Source organism: Homo sapiens, chromosome 12 (assembly GCF_000001405.40).
Source record: "Homo sapiens chromosome 12, GRCh38.p14 Primary Assembly".
NCBI lineage: Eukaryota > Metazoa > Chordata > Mammalia > Primates > Hominidae > Homo > Homo sapiens.
In genome coordinates this window covers 117663744-117679874 of record NC_000012.12, presented here as the reverse complement: position 1 = coordinate 117679874, position 16131 = coordinate 117663744, and the positions used below count along the sequence as shown (strand labels likewise).

General features: G+C 47.2%; 1 protein-coding gene across 7 annotated transcripts in view; it reads left to right on the top strand.

The window, feature by feature from the left end:
• The window catches only part of KSR2 (kinase suppressor of ras 2), a 515979-nt gene that overhangs the window by 289116 nt on the left and 210732 nt on the right, over positions 1-16131 (top strand). For all 7 annotated transcript variants that reach the window (XM_011538224.4, NM_173598.6, XM_011538225.4 and 4 more), the window contains exon 5: positions 12217-12401. In XM_011538224.4, the coding sequence (XP_011536526.1) occupies positions 12217-12401 (185 nt within the window). The remainder of the gene's footprint in view (positions 1-12216; positions 12402-16131) is intronic.

The window sequence follows — 16131 nt, the reverse complement described above, 5'->3', positions numbered from 1 at the left end:
AACTTTATTTACCAAAACAAGATGAGGGCTGGATTTGGCCATTGGTTGGCCCATAGTTCTTCTAGAACCCCTGTTCTAGAAGAACCTGGCTAGAGCTGCCCAGTTCAGACCACCAGGCAATCTTCCTGAGAACAAAGGGAGAACCATGCCCTAGCCATAACCCAGGAATTCTTGAGTTTTACACACCCAGATGGGCTAAAAGACAGCATGGATAACCCAGTCTCAGTGAATCAGTTACTGGTTCACCACATCTGATTTGAGATTTCTGCTGTGTCTTGAGACACCCGTACCCTTATAGCAGGTGTCAAACAGACTCCTGCCTCATGGCCAGGTCTGTGCTGGTGCGGATGTGATACACAAGTCAGGGTTGCTGACAATGGAAGCTGTGTCTTCTATTTCCCTTTAGACCTCTGAAGTGTAAGAACACAGTGCATCACACTTAGAGTGTGCTCGGTTGGTGTGTGCTGAATTTTTAACCAAGTGCCGCATAACCTCTCTGAACTTCAATTTCCCCATCTATGAAATGGGTATAACTCTAGTACCTTCCTTGTAGGGTTGTTGTGAGGACCGCATGAGTTAATGCACATGGGGAGCTGGTACCTGGACCATAGGAAACGCTCCGTGCATGGTGCTGATGCACATGGAGTGCTGGTGATAGCAACCTAAAGTTCGATGGTTCTGGGAGCTTCAAGGGCGCTCAGACTTGAGTTCAGCCTTTAAGGATACATGGAGAGAAGACGGCACTGGGTCCTAGGAGAGTGAAGGTACAGAGAAGCTGAGCCAGAGCAGGTTCAAGGTGAAAGGAGACGGGGAAACAGAGTTTGGGCCATGTGCCTTCATGAAGTAGGAAATTTACTAGAGACAATACGAATTCATGCCAAGAGGGTGATACCAGTCTTTCCCACTGATGCCATGCCCCACCCCTTGCAGACCCCTCAGCAGACCTTGTCTGCTGTGACCATCATCACACTTGGGCAGTATCCCTCTTTGAGAAATGAGGAGACAGGCCCAGAGAGGAGAAGTGACTTGTCCAAGACCACACAGCTGGTACAAGGGGAGCAGGACCATCATCCAGGGCCATTTGGAATTCAGTCCCTGCTGCCCACATCATGTTGTCCATTGTCCTCACCCACAGAAAACCTGCCTTTGCACTACAGAGGTCCCTTGGGGGTTACTTGGCTCAATCTCTGAGAGCTGCATTACCCCCAAACAGATCCCGTGACCATAGGGGAACCATATTCCTCCCAGGCCAGATCCTGTGTCATGGGAGCTTGGTTTGAGAGGACTGATGCAGGTAACACCTCTCAGGTACCTCAGCAGTTCTGTTTTGTACCTGGAGGAAAACTCCTTTGCTTCTTGCAAGAAATCTATTCTTCAGTCCAAATCTCCCTGTGGTCAAGCTCTTGGGTCATAGTGAGGAGGAAGCCATGTAGGTCTCACCCAGAGAGCCCCGGAATCCTAACTCCTAGTACATGAAGATGTCTGCGATCCAAAGCTTGGCAAGGGTTGGTGGGGGCGGGGTGGGGGTAGTATCCTCTTTCTGGCACCAGAGTGGGATGGAGCCTCATGTAGCTGTGAGAGCCTGGGCTCCGGATCTGGACAAATTGGGTTAGAAGCCCAATACTGGCCCGGTGCGGTGGCTCATGCCTTAATTCCAGCACTTTGGGCGTGTGAGGTGGGTGGATCACTTGAGGACAGGAGTTCAAGACCAGCCTGGCCAATATGGTGAAACCCCATCTCTGCTAAAAATACAAAAAAAAAAAAAAAAAAAATTAGCTGGGCTTTGGTGGCACATGCCTATAATCCCAGCTATTTGGGAGGCTGAGGCAGAAGAACGAGTTGAACCCATGAGGCGGAGGTTGTAGTGAGCCAAGATCACGCCACTGCCCTGCAGCCTGGTCAACAGAGCGAGACTCTGTCTCAAAAACAAAAAAGGAGCTCAGAACTTTCTGGACTCGGTTTCTTCATCTGTGAGATGGAACCACCTGCAAGGCTTGTTGTTAATATTCACTTGTACATTCATCCAAAATATAGTTTTGGAGGACACACTGTGCGTCAGACATTTTTCTAGGCCTTGGAGACAACATTGGTAAGCAACATTGAGATAGAGCTCATATTCTAGTTGGCAGACAGAGAACAAATGAAGAAATTCAGACACCGCTAGAATAAGAATCTCATAAAGTGGCCAGTCCTGTGTGTGGCCCCTAGTAACTATCCCATTAAAAGTGGTAGGTATTTTTCTTGTTTGAGTTATGGCACCAAAGAATCCCTTGAGACAAGGGTACTGTATTAGTCTGCTAGGGCTGCTGTCACAAAATATCACAGATCGAGGGGCTTAAACAATGGAAATGTATTTTCTCACAGTTCTAGAGGCTGGAAGTCCAAGATCGAGGTGTTGGCAGGGTTGGTTTCTCCTGAGGCCTCTCTCTGTGTCTTGCAGATGGCCGTCCTCTTGCTGTGTCCTTACATGGCGGCTTCTATACATCCCTGGTGTGTTGTCCTCTTCTTAAAAAGACACCAATCCTATTGGATTGGGGCTCTCCCTTATGATGTCATTTAAGCTTAGTCACCTCTTTAAAGGTTCCATCTCTAAATACAGCCACATTCTGAAGTCCTAGGGGTTAGGACTTCAACATAGGAACTTGAGGGGGACAAAATTCAGCCCATAACATGCATTGATGGTGAGAACCAAGAGAATGTCTTAAGACCAAAAACGCAGTGTGGGGAGAAGGGGCATTTTGGCCAAGTATTCCTTGCACACCTTTTCTCTGGATGCCTTTGATGATGCTGTTGTATGCTCCCTTCTTCAAGGAAGGCTTCCTGCTTCCCAGGCCTGGCATCATCACCTTATCCCGATGATGGACACCCTTCTCCACTTGTCAGTGTCATTCTCAGACTTTGTGTGTTTGAGAATTCAAGTCATAGCATTTGTACACTATGACTTATTTATCCCTTCCACTATTGATGGTCACTGAGATGTTCCCAGTGTTTGTGTGGCCCTTATGAATAACGCTGCCATGAACATTCTTACAAAGGTCTTTTTTTGCAGACATGGGCCCTCATTTTGGTTAGATACAGGCCTGGGAGTAAAATCGTTGGGTCAGAGCTTACTTTCAGCTTTAGTAGCTACTGCCAAGTCATTTTTCAAAAACGGTTGTACCAATTTACACTCCCACCAGGATTTTAGGAGAGTTCTGTTTGCCTTATATCTTTGCCAATATTTGTAACTGCCAGTCTATTTTTAGCCATTTGGGTGGGATCTATACTATAGTTTACTTAACATTTTTTTAGCCAACATCTCCTCCCCCTCGTTTGTCTTCTTATTCTTCCTTTTCTCTTCCTTTTTCTCCTTTGTCTTCCTTTTTCTCATCCTTCTTTCTCTTCCTCCTCCCCTTCTTTTTCTCCTTCTTAGTATCTTTTGCATATAGAAAATAATTACTATGAAATTATAGATTTGACGTGCAAAGGCTATTTCTTGAATTTTATTAAAATGCAAAAAGATGCATCCATGTCTTCTCTAAAAGGACTGCGTATTCCTCCACACTTGGGGAAATGCAGCTTGTGCTATTTCACAGGCTCATCATGCCCCTTTTTTTTGCCAGGACGCTGGTTGATTAATGCCATGCTTGGGGAGTGCTCCAGCCAGAAATGAGGGCTATCGCCTGTGGCCAATAACAGAGCAGATTCTCAATAAACATCCCCTTGGTGTTACACTTAATGGGGCTTTGCTTTTCCAAACTGCTCCCTTTCCTGGGCTCTGAGCAGCTGAGCCGAGAGCTCGTAAGCTCTGCTGCCCCAGAACATTGTGCATTCTTTGATTTTGAAAAGTCTTTCCTGAAGGCCTCCTCTTGGGTCATTGGATCAGCCCAAGAGCAAAGGATTTAAAAGGGCCAATTTGATAGGGACAGCTCATAGCCCTGTGTAAGACCACTGGGCATTTTTCCTGTTTGGGGAAATGGTTACTGGATTAGCATTTTGCTGTACAGGGCGGTCTGCAAGAATGTGTGCTCTTGCCTGTCCTCAAAGCAGGCTTGTGAGGAGCTTGTCTGTTCCCAGCCCTGCCATTTCCTCCCAATTGGCTGGGCCAGATGCTCCAGACACAGTTAATGAGATGCTGAGGGATTTGGCCGGGTAAAGGCTTCTGAGTTGAAGGGGACACAACCCACACGCTCGAGGAGGCTGAGGCCATGTGAGCCAGCGGCTCTGTTTCACTCAGACCCCAGCACACTTTGGGAAGAGGAAATGGTGCAAAGACTAAACATCAGTTTGGGGCTTCCCTTGACGATCTCTGTGATGAAAGCTGGGAGAGGTGGGCTGGCAAAAGGGTATCGATTCAGTTTGCTGAATGTGCAACCACCTGCCAGACCTAGGCCAAGGGTGGCCGGGGGCTGACAAAAGAAATTGTCAGAAAGAAAAAGAAATTGTATTTCTGTCCTTGAAGAGCCCTTACTTGGGAATTAACTGGGAAGATGCTGCTAAACCAGCCCTCCTGATTTGCAGATGGAGACTGGGTCACTTTCCTTTAGAATTCCCCACAAATAGAAGATGTCACATAGTCCTTGCTTGAGGTGGGATACATGGGCTAGGGTGAGCATCTGTAGACCCAGCTTCTGGGTCCCTGTCTTATGCTAGATGGTGAGGATACAGGCCCTTTTTGTGTGATGGGCATGGGCCCTAGGGGAGACAGACATTCCTCTGGTAACCACATAAGTAAATGCAGAATTCCAGCTGGGATGCATTCTAAGAAGGAAAGCAGGTGGTGCTGGGAGCAGGTGTAACCAGGAGATCTGACTGGTTTGGGAGTTAAGGATGGCATCTCTGAGGAAGTGGTACCTTAATGATGAGTATGATACCACTAACAAGCACAATGGGGAATAATGTCCCAGGCAGCAGGAACAGCATGTGCAAAGGCCCTGAGGTAGAGAATTTAGTGTGGTCAAGGACCAGAAAGATGACCCGAACAGCTAGAGTCCAAGATGACACAAGAAGTTGGAGGGTAGGTGTGGAGGGTCCTAGGAAGCTTTTATAGACCACAAGAAGAGAGAACAACTGGAAACCTTTGTGGGGTTTTAAGAAGAGGAGTGACATGATACAATGTATACTTTTTAAAGCCTGCCTTTGACTGCTGGGTAGAGAATACATTGTAAAGAATCCAAAGTGGGATCCAATTACTCAACCATAAAAAGTCATTTAGTGGTGATCCATGCTAGAACATGGATGACCCTCAAAAACATTGTACTGAGTGAAGAAGCCAGACACAAAAGGCCACATCTTGTAGGATTCCATTTATATGCAATGTCCAGAATAGGCAAATCCATAGAGCGAGAAAGCTGATTGGTGGTGCAGGGGCTGGAGGAAAGGGGAAATGGGAGTGACTAATGCGTAAGGGATTTCCTTTTGAAGTGGTGAGCATTTGGAACTAGATAGAGGTTGTGATCTTCCAATATGAATGAACTTAATGCTACAGAGTTATTCAATTTAAAATGGTGAATTTTACGTTCTGTGAATTTCACTTTAGTATAACAAAAAAGCAAAAATGGAACCAAATGCAAGTGAGTCTGCGATTCCAGCGAGGAGGCAGCGGCAGCCCAGGTGAGAAGAAGGTGGTGGCTTGGACCAGAACATTGGGGCTAGAGATGGAGAGTAATGAACTCATTCAAAGACAATGTAAGATTTCTCGGGATCCTTTTAGTTTTGATACTGTATGTAAATTGGGCATCAGAAAAGTGGGAAGAGTTTTCCCAGATTCCAACACTGGAAGAGTCCTTTGCTGTACTTGGGAAACATGCATTTTCCTAAGCATAGGTGATGGCCTGGAGCTGAGTGTCTTTCCCTAACACAGATGTGCAGCCTTGGCTTAGCCCAGCCCCTCTGCACAGCTTACCTTGTCAGGGAGCCCTGACTTGCTGGCCCATCCAGAAAGCACCATGGTACACCCAGGGCTGATATAGCCCCAGAGGATTTGGCTTCCCTTTCTAATGTTTTGTGCCACCTAATTTTGTTGATTTTCTCTGAATTGGCCTTATTTCCAGATGAGACATCTGTGTGACAGATATCTAATATCCTACAAAGATCACGGGAAAGAATGTTCTTTTTAATTGCATCTGTGAGATATATTGCAAAATATTCACTAAATCTTAAGTACACAGTCACAGTCATTAGAAACAGTCATTTGTGTCTGTTTTTTCCCCCTGACCATGCCTTGGTAATGAGGGTGGATGGAAAGGTGAATCCCACATCTTGTCCATGAAGGCTTCCTTGATGGGTAGGAAGCAATATGGGATTTCTTTCCACCCTACTCTAATCAAATAGCCATGTATTCTCTCGTTTTCTTTTACTCCCATTCTCTCTTCTGCCCTTCTTTCTCTCCATCTTTTCATCCCACCATTCTTCCCTTTTCCATCCTTCCTTCCTCTTTCCATCTGTCCATCCTTCCATTCTCCCATTCTTCTCCATTCCTTTATCCGTTCTTCTGTCTTCCCATTCTCACTTTTATTCCATCCATTTATCCTTTAATTCTTTCATCTTCCTCCCCCATCCTCCCTTCCTTTTATCTGTGTTCCCATCCTCCCATCCTCTCTGTCCTTCATCAATTCCATCCTTCCAATTTTTCACCCTTCCTTCCTTCTTTCCATTCTTTTATCCATCCATCTTTTCATCTATCCTTCTGTCCAACTAACCCTTATTTAGATATACCCCTTCTCCCCTCCATCTGTGGCCATGGTTGGTAAAACAGATTGACTCTGAGGTCATTGAGCTCCTGCTAAACTTGTGCTGGGTCAGACTTGGTTCTTCTTGCCAGAGGATCTGGTCTTGTCACTTAGCTCAGTGCCTCAAGGCTCCTGTCAGGGTTTTGGAGATGACCGTGGTTATCTATCACCAGAGGGTTTTGCTGTGTCCTCTTCACTCACTAAGGGCCATGGTGGATTGAAAGTTTGTTGGATATCACCAGGCGCAGTGGCCCACGCCTGTAATCCCAGCACTTTGGGAGGCCGAGGCCAAGATGGGCAGATCACAAGGTCAGGAGTTCAAGACCAGTCTGGCCAACATAGTGAAACCCCGTCTCTATTAAAAACACAAAAATTAGCCGGGCATGGTGGCACACGCCCATAGTCCCAGCTACTTGGGAGGCTGAGGCAGGAGAATCCCTTGAACCCTGGAGGCAGAGGTTGTGGTGGGCCGAGATCGTACCACTGCACTCCAGCCTGGGTGACAGAGCAAGACTCAGTCTCAAAAAAAAAAAAGTTTGTTGGATATTTCGGGTGAAAATTGCAGCTTGGCTTCAATGTTGGCTTCTTCAAGTCTACTTCTATAGCTATACAGACATCTGATTTGACCTGGTCATAGTGACTTTAATAGCAGGTGACATCACCTGAACCCTCACTCTGTGCTGGGTCCCCTGCCAAGCTTGTTATCTCATAGAATTCTCACAATAGCCTTCTGAGATTGGTGTTAGTATTCTCCCCATTGCCCAGATGAGGAAACCGAGATCACTTTCTCAAGGTCACAATCAGGACTTAAGTCCCAGTCTCTCTGACCCCAAAGCCTATGAGTTTAACCACTAAATTACACTGCATCTGTGGGATATACTGCAAAATATTCACTAAATCTTAAGTACACAGTCACAGTCATTAGGAACAGTCATTTGTGTCCGTGTATGGATGTTTCTTTGAATCTTGAACATTGAGCATTTGCGTGGGATGAAATGGCACCCCTCCCCCCACCGCCTTGCTTTCCTTTCTTCTCTGACCATGGGCAGGAAAGAGTCCGCCAGTATGTGCTGCTATAACTGGAGGCTCCTTGCTGGTCCTCGCCGTGGGCCCCTGGGGAGATAAGCAGAGTTGGCGTTCCAGGCGCTAAGGACTTTGCAGGCATGCTTAGACTCCCTCAAGCCAGCGAGCAGCAGGCCTCCTTCACAGTGGGGCTTTTAACCTGCTTGTGTGGGATGCCCCCAGGCTTAAACCAATAGACTTTTCTGAACTCTCCTTCCAGGATTCTGAAAATCTGCAAGGAGGCTGTGCTCTGGCCACAAGAGGGCACCCCACTCCTGGGCAGGCAGGATGGGAGTTTGGGGGAGGTGGGTGGGAGGAGCTGAGAGATTCCTTTTGGATGCAGCTTTGAACCAAGCGCTCTTAAGCGCACTCCTTGGGAAGGGAAGAAATGTTTTCAAGCCCACTGAAAAGTTTCATTTCATTCAACTAGTACTAAGCTAAGGGATGAAGGATCCAACAGGGTAAACCACATGGTTCCTGACCTCAAGGAGCCTACAGTCATGTGTGGAAGGCAAAGAATTAGAAGGGAATGTGATGTGTGCCAGAGTCTTAATCCAGAACAGTCATTTGGTAAGCATTTAATGAGCACCTACTATGTGCCAGGCTTTGTGCTGGTTGCCAAGGATAGGAAAATGAACAGCACAGAGTCATTGCCCTCAAAGACCACAGTCTACTTGGAAGACAGCAAATCTGAAAAAATAGGAAACTGTTGCCATCAATCTGTCTGTCTCTCTGCCGTCTGTCTGTCTATCTATCTATCTATCTATCTAATGATCAATCAATCGAGAGAGAGAGAACTGAGAAGGAACACCCAACCCAGTCTAGGAGGGAAGAGGGAGTATTAGGGAATGCTTTCTGGAGGAAGAACACCCAACCCATGCCGAAATGAATTAGGATATCAAGGAAGACTTCCTGGAGGAGAGGACATCAGAGCCAAGTCATAAAAGACAAGTAGGGTTTAGCCAGGCAAAGCAACAGAGGGTATTCCAGGTGGTGGAGACAGCATATACAAAGAGTGAGAAGGCCCCAGGGCCAGACCAAGGTGTGTGTGTGGGTAGATATTGGGTACCATGTTAAGGACATTGGGTCTTTTCCAGCATGTGATGGAAAAGCAGGTTCTAAGAGAGTGAGGTGAGGGAATGATAAGTTACCCCGACTCTGTGGGTAGGAGAGGGCATTATACACGTGGTAGCATTTGAACTGGACCATGGAGTATGTGTAGGGGTTCACCAGGTGGAGGAGGAAGAGAAACGATAGAAACACTCTGTGAGGGGCAGCTTTGCCGTTCCGTGGGGGCCACTGAACAGGGACTCTCCTGGGTCCCTGCCCTGTCTCCTTCATCTATTACAGCATTTTTCTATTTAGTTACTCCAGAGCAAAAGGGATCAGTGCTAGACACAGGGGGGCAAAGGGAAATATCTGCGTGGGGTTTCTGGGTGGTTCTGGTGAAAGGGTTCCAAGAAAGAGGTGGATGAAGCAAAAGTGAAGATTTAGGGCTCAGTTCTTGGCCACCCCAGTGCCTCTGACCTGAGCATGTCCCAAATCGAACTTCTCAGGATAGTGGCCTCGGGGTGGGTGATGATGTAGGGTTGGGACTGACATGCAGGGTCTGGTGTGGGTGCAGTTGAGAGATGCACCCTGGTGCCGTACTGCCTGGTTTCAGGGCTGGCACCACCTTCACCACATCCCTTATCTTCTCATTGCTTTGGTGTCCTCATCATTGGAGAGAAGATAATAACAGCATCTCCCACCTAAGGTTACCATGGCGCTTAAGTGAGGTCATACATGAAAAGCACTTGATACAGTCCCTAGGACATGGTTGGCACTCAAATCAAAGCAGTGGTAACAGTGGCTGTTGTTGCTGTTATTATTATGATGAAGCCTCCTGTTTGATAAAGTTGAAAAATTTTAAATGTCCATGTTTTATGCTTATAATTTCCGAGCTGTTTTCTCTCCATTTCAGATCAAAGCTTAATCAGCACCTTGCTGGAATCCTTGTTTTTAGTGTCTCCTTTCTATCTCTTTCTCAGTATGAGAGGGCCTGTTGGAAATGGAATAATTTCGCCTCCTAATAATCTGTTGGCAAGGAAGATGCCTAGAAAAAAAAGAAACAATTCAAAAAGAATCTTAAATACCCTATTTTTTTTTATTTCAGCAACAGACTGTGAATAATTGCTAAGCCCCTCACTTTCTTTATCATTTTTAAATTTTATTATTATCATTATTATTATTTTAGAGACAGGGTCTCACTATGTCACCCAGGCTGGAGTGCAGTGGTACAACCGTAGCTCACTACAGCCTCAAACTCCTGGTCTCTAGTGATCCTCCCACCTCAGCCTCCTGAGTAGCTGGGACTGCAGGCACATGCCTCCAAACCCGGCTAATGTTTTAATTTTCTATGGAGACAGGGTCTTGCTATGTTGCCCAGGCTGGCTGCAAACTCCTGGCCTCAAGTTATTCTCCCACCTTGGCCCCCGAAAGTGCTGGGATTATAGAGATGAGACACTGCACTCAGCCCTCTTTTTTTTTTTAATTTTAGCAATGTATTTTACTTAACCCAACATTTGATGCATACAAAAATATTGTTAGGTATTGTCCATTATTATTATTTTTCATTCTAAGCCTATTTCAGTCAAGCCTCACCACAATTCAAGTGCTCATGTGGACGAGTAGCTCTGTTATTGGACAGGGTAGCTCTATACTAAGAAATGGCCAGGATGTGACAGATCCATTCTTGAGGGCGTAGTTATTCTCAGCCTTCAGTATACATTGCACTTTTTTTGATAGTATCAAATTTTGCCATAAGCTTAACTCTGATGGATACTTGCACTCATAACACATTGCTATTAATTAATTGTTTAAATATCATACTATTACCCGTTTCAGTGAGTTACCTATACATTTCCTTACCTTTATGATTCTGTGTAAGAGACAGTCCCTGGCTTTATTGCACAATTGTTGCCATGAATGTACCATGTTGTAGGCAGAAGGCAGATGCTCACCCACTGGTGGGGTGAGACCAATGCCCGTGTGTAGGATTGAGATTAGACATCACCCCTTTCTCTTCTCTTGAATGAATCTATAACTGGCCATGGATCAAATGCTGTGAGCTGAGGGGTCCCTGGAAGAGCTCTTCTTTACCTTCCTTCCTTTTACCATTTAGAGATCATTCAACAAATATTTAAATTCCTGCTCTATGTGACTCGTTTTGCTGGGCACAGAGTGTACAAAGAATACCATTCAATCTCCTGGGTCTTGAAGAGTCCCCAAGAGGAGAACCAAACTTTCCTGAAGCTTCTGCTTGGTTTCAGCTGCAGATTCTTTCTTCTGAAGGAACTATCAGACAGATATCCATAATATAATAATGATAATTCATGTTTATACTTTGTATTAATTCACTTACGGGCATTTTTAAATCCTCTCCACAATTCTCCAAAGGACTCTTTTGTAGGCAAGAGAACTGAGGCTTGAGAAGTTTAATGGACTCACCCGGGGGTGGTGAGACCAGTTATTTGAATCTGGGGAGTCTGGCCCCAGAATAGTGTAATTCCTGCAAGCTGCACCTGCTCTTCTCCAGCAATGCTGCTATGGTGGACACAGCGATGAAGGGTGGGGGCACCCAGGGTCCCTTGTCTATATCACTCTTCTGATCTCTGGCAGCTGCCTGTGAGGCTGTGAGGCACCCCATCAGATCCAGCCTATGATCTGGTGGAGCACCCTCCCTCCTGAACTCCTAAGGTGGGCACCATCTGAGGCTCCTGGTAGGCACCGGACCAAGAGCTAGACAGAGCCGTGGGTGGGCTGGGAAGGAGGAGCCCGGCACCAGAAGTCCTCAGCAAGAGGAAGCATTTCCAGAAGAGGCACTGTGATCCTACCGAAGGCTTAGTCTACTTAGATCTCTTGAAAGTCATCAGGCTTAACATCTACAGAAATGCACTGATTATTGTTACATGGAGGAAGGGCAGTGGATTTGGGGATTAAACACGTAGATGGTGAATGCCACCTTGACACAGATCTGGACTCACTTGAGGACAGCCTGGGATTTGCTGTTTTTGTCAAATGGCCAAAGAGCAGCTTGGCCACGGGTTGGGGGCTTGGAGCTCTGGAGACTCGAGATGTTTAGGCAAAAGTTGCGGGATTGGAGTTGGAAGCTGAACTTGACACTGGCTCTCTAGAGCTTCTCTAGGGAGCTGGGCAAAAAAGAATGGCTGAAGTGTTTGCTTGTGCTCCATGGTAGAATGAGCTTCTTAGAGGGACCTAGGGGTGAGAGGGTAAACCCTTTTTGCCCAGCCCTTGTGTCTCTACCTAAAAGCCTGTGGGCTCTTCTAATTTCTCCCTGTGGGTTTTGGACCCCTCATGGGAAACACAAGGCTGGGCCTCCCTGCTGTAACTTTGTGCACCTATGGATATATTTCCTTTTCCTCTTTTTCTGTCTCCCTTTCAGAGCCAAGAAGAAGAGCAAACCCTTGAACCTCAAGATCCACAGCAGCGTAGGCAGCTGCGAGAACATCCCCTCTCAGCAGCGCTCCCCGCTGCTGTCCGAGCGCTCCCTCCGCTCCTTCTTTGTGGGACACGCACCTTTCCTGCCTTCCACCCCTCCTGTTCACACTGAGGCCAACTTCTCTGCAAGTAAGTCACCCTGCCGGGCTGCACTGGGAACGCTTGCCATGCCACCTCCTTCTCCCCAGCACCTGCTGTCCTCTGTGCCAGGTGCAAACTCTCTCTTCTTTATCTCAAGGGCTTGTGAAATGCTCACTGTAGAGCTTCACCCATCATCTGCCCACAGCCCCCCCATCTGCCTATGCCACTCATGCCCATTTGGATGGTTTTGGAAGGGGGCATAACTGACGCTGGGGAGGTTGACTGGGTGTTGTCGTTGGTCCCCAGTTCCTGCTCTTTCCCCTGAAGTTGTGAAGGAAAGATAGAGAAAAGCAAGCAGGCATTCAGGGAGGCACCCGCCCTCTCTCTCCCTCTTCCCGGCTGTCTCTCAGCTGCCTGATTACAGGATTTTTCTTGGCTGCTGTGGCTAAGGCATCTATGATTAAGTTTTGTATTTTTTTCCCCACTCAGGTCAATATATATAACCTTTACATCTCAAAGATGTATTTGGGTTCAAATGGGGTTGAGCATGGCCTGAGGTGGTTTACTTTCTGCTCTTACGAATTTCTGCTGGAGACAGGGTGGTTATTACTTGGAGCGGAAATGGAACTTTTTGGTGATGGAGGGCTGGTTTAATCTTCTCTACCCAGAGGCCCGATTTGCTGAACAGGCACAGATGTGGTCAGAGGGGCACCCCCACTGAATAAAGCCCAGCCAGTCCTCCAGCCAAGACAGCAACTTTTATTGATTGGTTGCTCAAGAGAAGGAAGGGCTCTGAGAATGTAGAAGAAATAACCCCTGGCCCTTAATTCAGCCACAGGCTGTGCACGTTGTGTTGCTGCTCTGAGAAATGATGAGACATGTTCACTGAGCCCTGATACATGCTAATCACTCACAGGCAGGGCCCCATTTAGTTCTTGCAAACAATCCCTCATGCAGATGGATTATTCCCATTGTACAGAAGGGGAAACTGAGGCCCAGGGATGTCAAAGAACTTGCTCAAAGTCACACAGGTGTTGAGTATTTGAGCTGGGATTTGAATTTGGTTCTTTCTAACACATCACACATCATTTGATAACCATGACCGCTCAAATACTCAGCAGAATGCCTTTCTCTAAATATGGGGTTTCCTTCATTACTTTTATCTAAGGGTTCTTACACTTTGAGAATTTGACAAGATCTATTAATTCTGTGCCTGGAAAAAAAGGCAGGTACATGTAATATCCAACATCCCGCTAGATGGTTAGGCTGGGGCCCGAATAGTGAGCTTGGTTTATAGCCCATGGGTGTTTATGGTGCATCCGTGGTAGGAATCAGCTGAGGGTATGGACTGATGAACCATGTGGACATCAGTTAGGAGTCGGTCCAGAGACTGCCTTGTCTTGGTGCCCAGGTTAGGCAGGCTCTAAATCAAGCAAACTAAAATAGTACCCTCGACTCCCAGGTCCATACCAGAAGGCCAATTTATTAATTTGTCCAGAGAAATCACTGCCAGAGAGAGCACCCTTCATGACGGTGGGCCTGCATGGTAGTCAAAGAGACTGGCTGCATGAGCGTGGATGAAGAAAAGCGTGATAGTGACAAGTCCAGTGTGTAGCAACAGCCAGGTGAGGCAGATGTCACGACCAGGAGCAGATGCCTGGGTTTGAACCCCAGTTATTCTACTTTTAAGCAATTATGTGTGACCTCAAGTGAGTTCAAAGCCTCTGAACCTGTTTCCTCATCTGTAAAATGGGGACAATAAGAGGTTCATCTTGTAGACAGTTGTGAGGATTAGATGAGCTCATGCATGCCAAGCCTTCTGCACAGTTCCTGGCACACAGTAGGTGCATAATAAATGGTGGCTTTTATGATGATGTTTTATTCTTGAAGCATTTACAGCCTGTGGGCTGATGGTTAATTTGGGGCTTCTGTGGCTAAATGCCTTGCAGTTTACTTCCCCTCCCCACTTCCCCATGGCCCGAAGAGTGCTTGGCATTTACCTTGGCATGACTCTGGGTGACTGCCTCTAACAGCCATCTGTCCTTGGTCATCGCCATCCTATGAGTGAATGTCAGCCGGGCCCCCTCCAGGGGTTGGCCACTGCTCTGCACTTTAATTTTGGCCAGAGTAAAAACATCTCCTTCCTGCTTTAAAAAAAAAGACAACAAAACACAGATTTAAACATTTGAGCCCCCGTCCCTACCAAAGAGTTTTTGAGGATTCATCATGGCTTCTAACTTTTTGTTCCCGCCCTGGTCTCCACCTAAGAGGAAAAGCGTTTCTGCTTGCCTGTGGACAGGAGCAAAGTCCTTAATTAAAAGGTGGCTCCCAGCAGTAAGAGGCACCAGGAGCACAACTGCCCCTTGGACAGTCTTGGTTCTTCAAAAAAGTTGCTCTCTGAGCTCCCGGAAAGAAGAAAGACAGCATTTGAGTCTCAGTGGAAGAATGAGTGAGTGTGTAACCCAAATAGCTGAGACCTCAGGGACCAGTTCCCTATCTGTTGATTCTAACAAGTAACAGAAACAGAGGCAGCCTGGTGTGGGGCAGGCAGGTTCGTTTGGGAAACGAGAAGCTCTCTGTTGGAATCTCAGTGTTGCCGCCGGTTGCCTTTGTGGCCTCTGTCTCTGCCTGGTGTGTCAGCTGCACTATTTCAGTTAAGACTCACCCCAGTCTGTGAGGCAGGTGCTAGAATTCCCATGTTACAGATCAAGAAACTGAGGCTCAGAATGGTGCATGAATTTGTCCATGGGGTCCCTTCTGAATCCAGATCCAATCTAGCCTGCATTGTATCACTTCAATGCGGCAAGTTCCTTCCTCTATCTGGGTCTCAGTTTCCCCAGGGGTATGCACTCCCTGAGGGTCCATTTCAGTGACTCTGAGGTCTAGCCACTGAGTTTTCCTAGGCAAATCTTTTGATGCAATTAGAATGCTGGTTTTGGGGACTCTGGGTGGGGCTTGGGGTTGGGAGAACACAGCTACCAGGTGCCGACTCCTCCTTGTTTGTAATAGTTCCCATTCCCATGCCAGTGAATTCCAGAAGAGAACTCCCTGCTTTTGGGCCCTGGTGGCAGCCTTCCTCCTGCTGAGCCAGCCAAGGGGGCCCCTGGGGCTGCATCCCTGCCAGGCTCAGTCTGTCTGCCTGTTTGTAACTGTCGGCTCTGGCTCTGGTCTGCACTGTGAAGGGTGGTGACACGTCATCTTGTTACCCCATGATGGTAACGCCTGGGGACAGCATTAGGCAGATCTGGCTGTAGTGTGGCCAAGCCTCACAACCTCAGGGTGCCCAGCCACCTTGAGTGGGCTGCGAGAAGGACATCACCTTCTTGGGGCTTACCCTACTCCCCTGGCCTGGGAGTGGTGAGTGGGGAAAGGGAGGGAGGGGAATGGCAGGAGCCTTCGCTCATGGAGGAATCTGTCTCCAAGGTTCACCAGCCCTTGGGGTTCATAGCCTCACTCAGGTAGGGCTAGAATGAAAGACGTCAGACGCTTCTGTTCACCATGGGAGATATTGACTCAAATGAACCTGCTTCCCAGAGAAATAGAGAGCAGTGGACTTATCTCTCCACCCTTGCTGTATTTATTCTGTGTTGCATTTGGGTGGGCCACCATGCTCTGGTGGTTTGCTTAGGTGCTCTTCACCAGTGGATCATCTTTACCCCAACAACCTGCAAGCTCGTGGGCTCCTTGTAGGCTATCTCTGATCCCAGCTGATGGAGGTCAGGCTTTCTTAAATCCCCTAAAGAAAGGCTACTTCACAATGAAAGAGTGCCACCTAGAT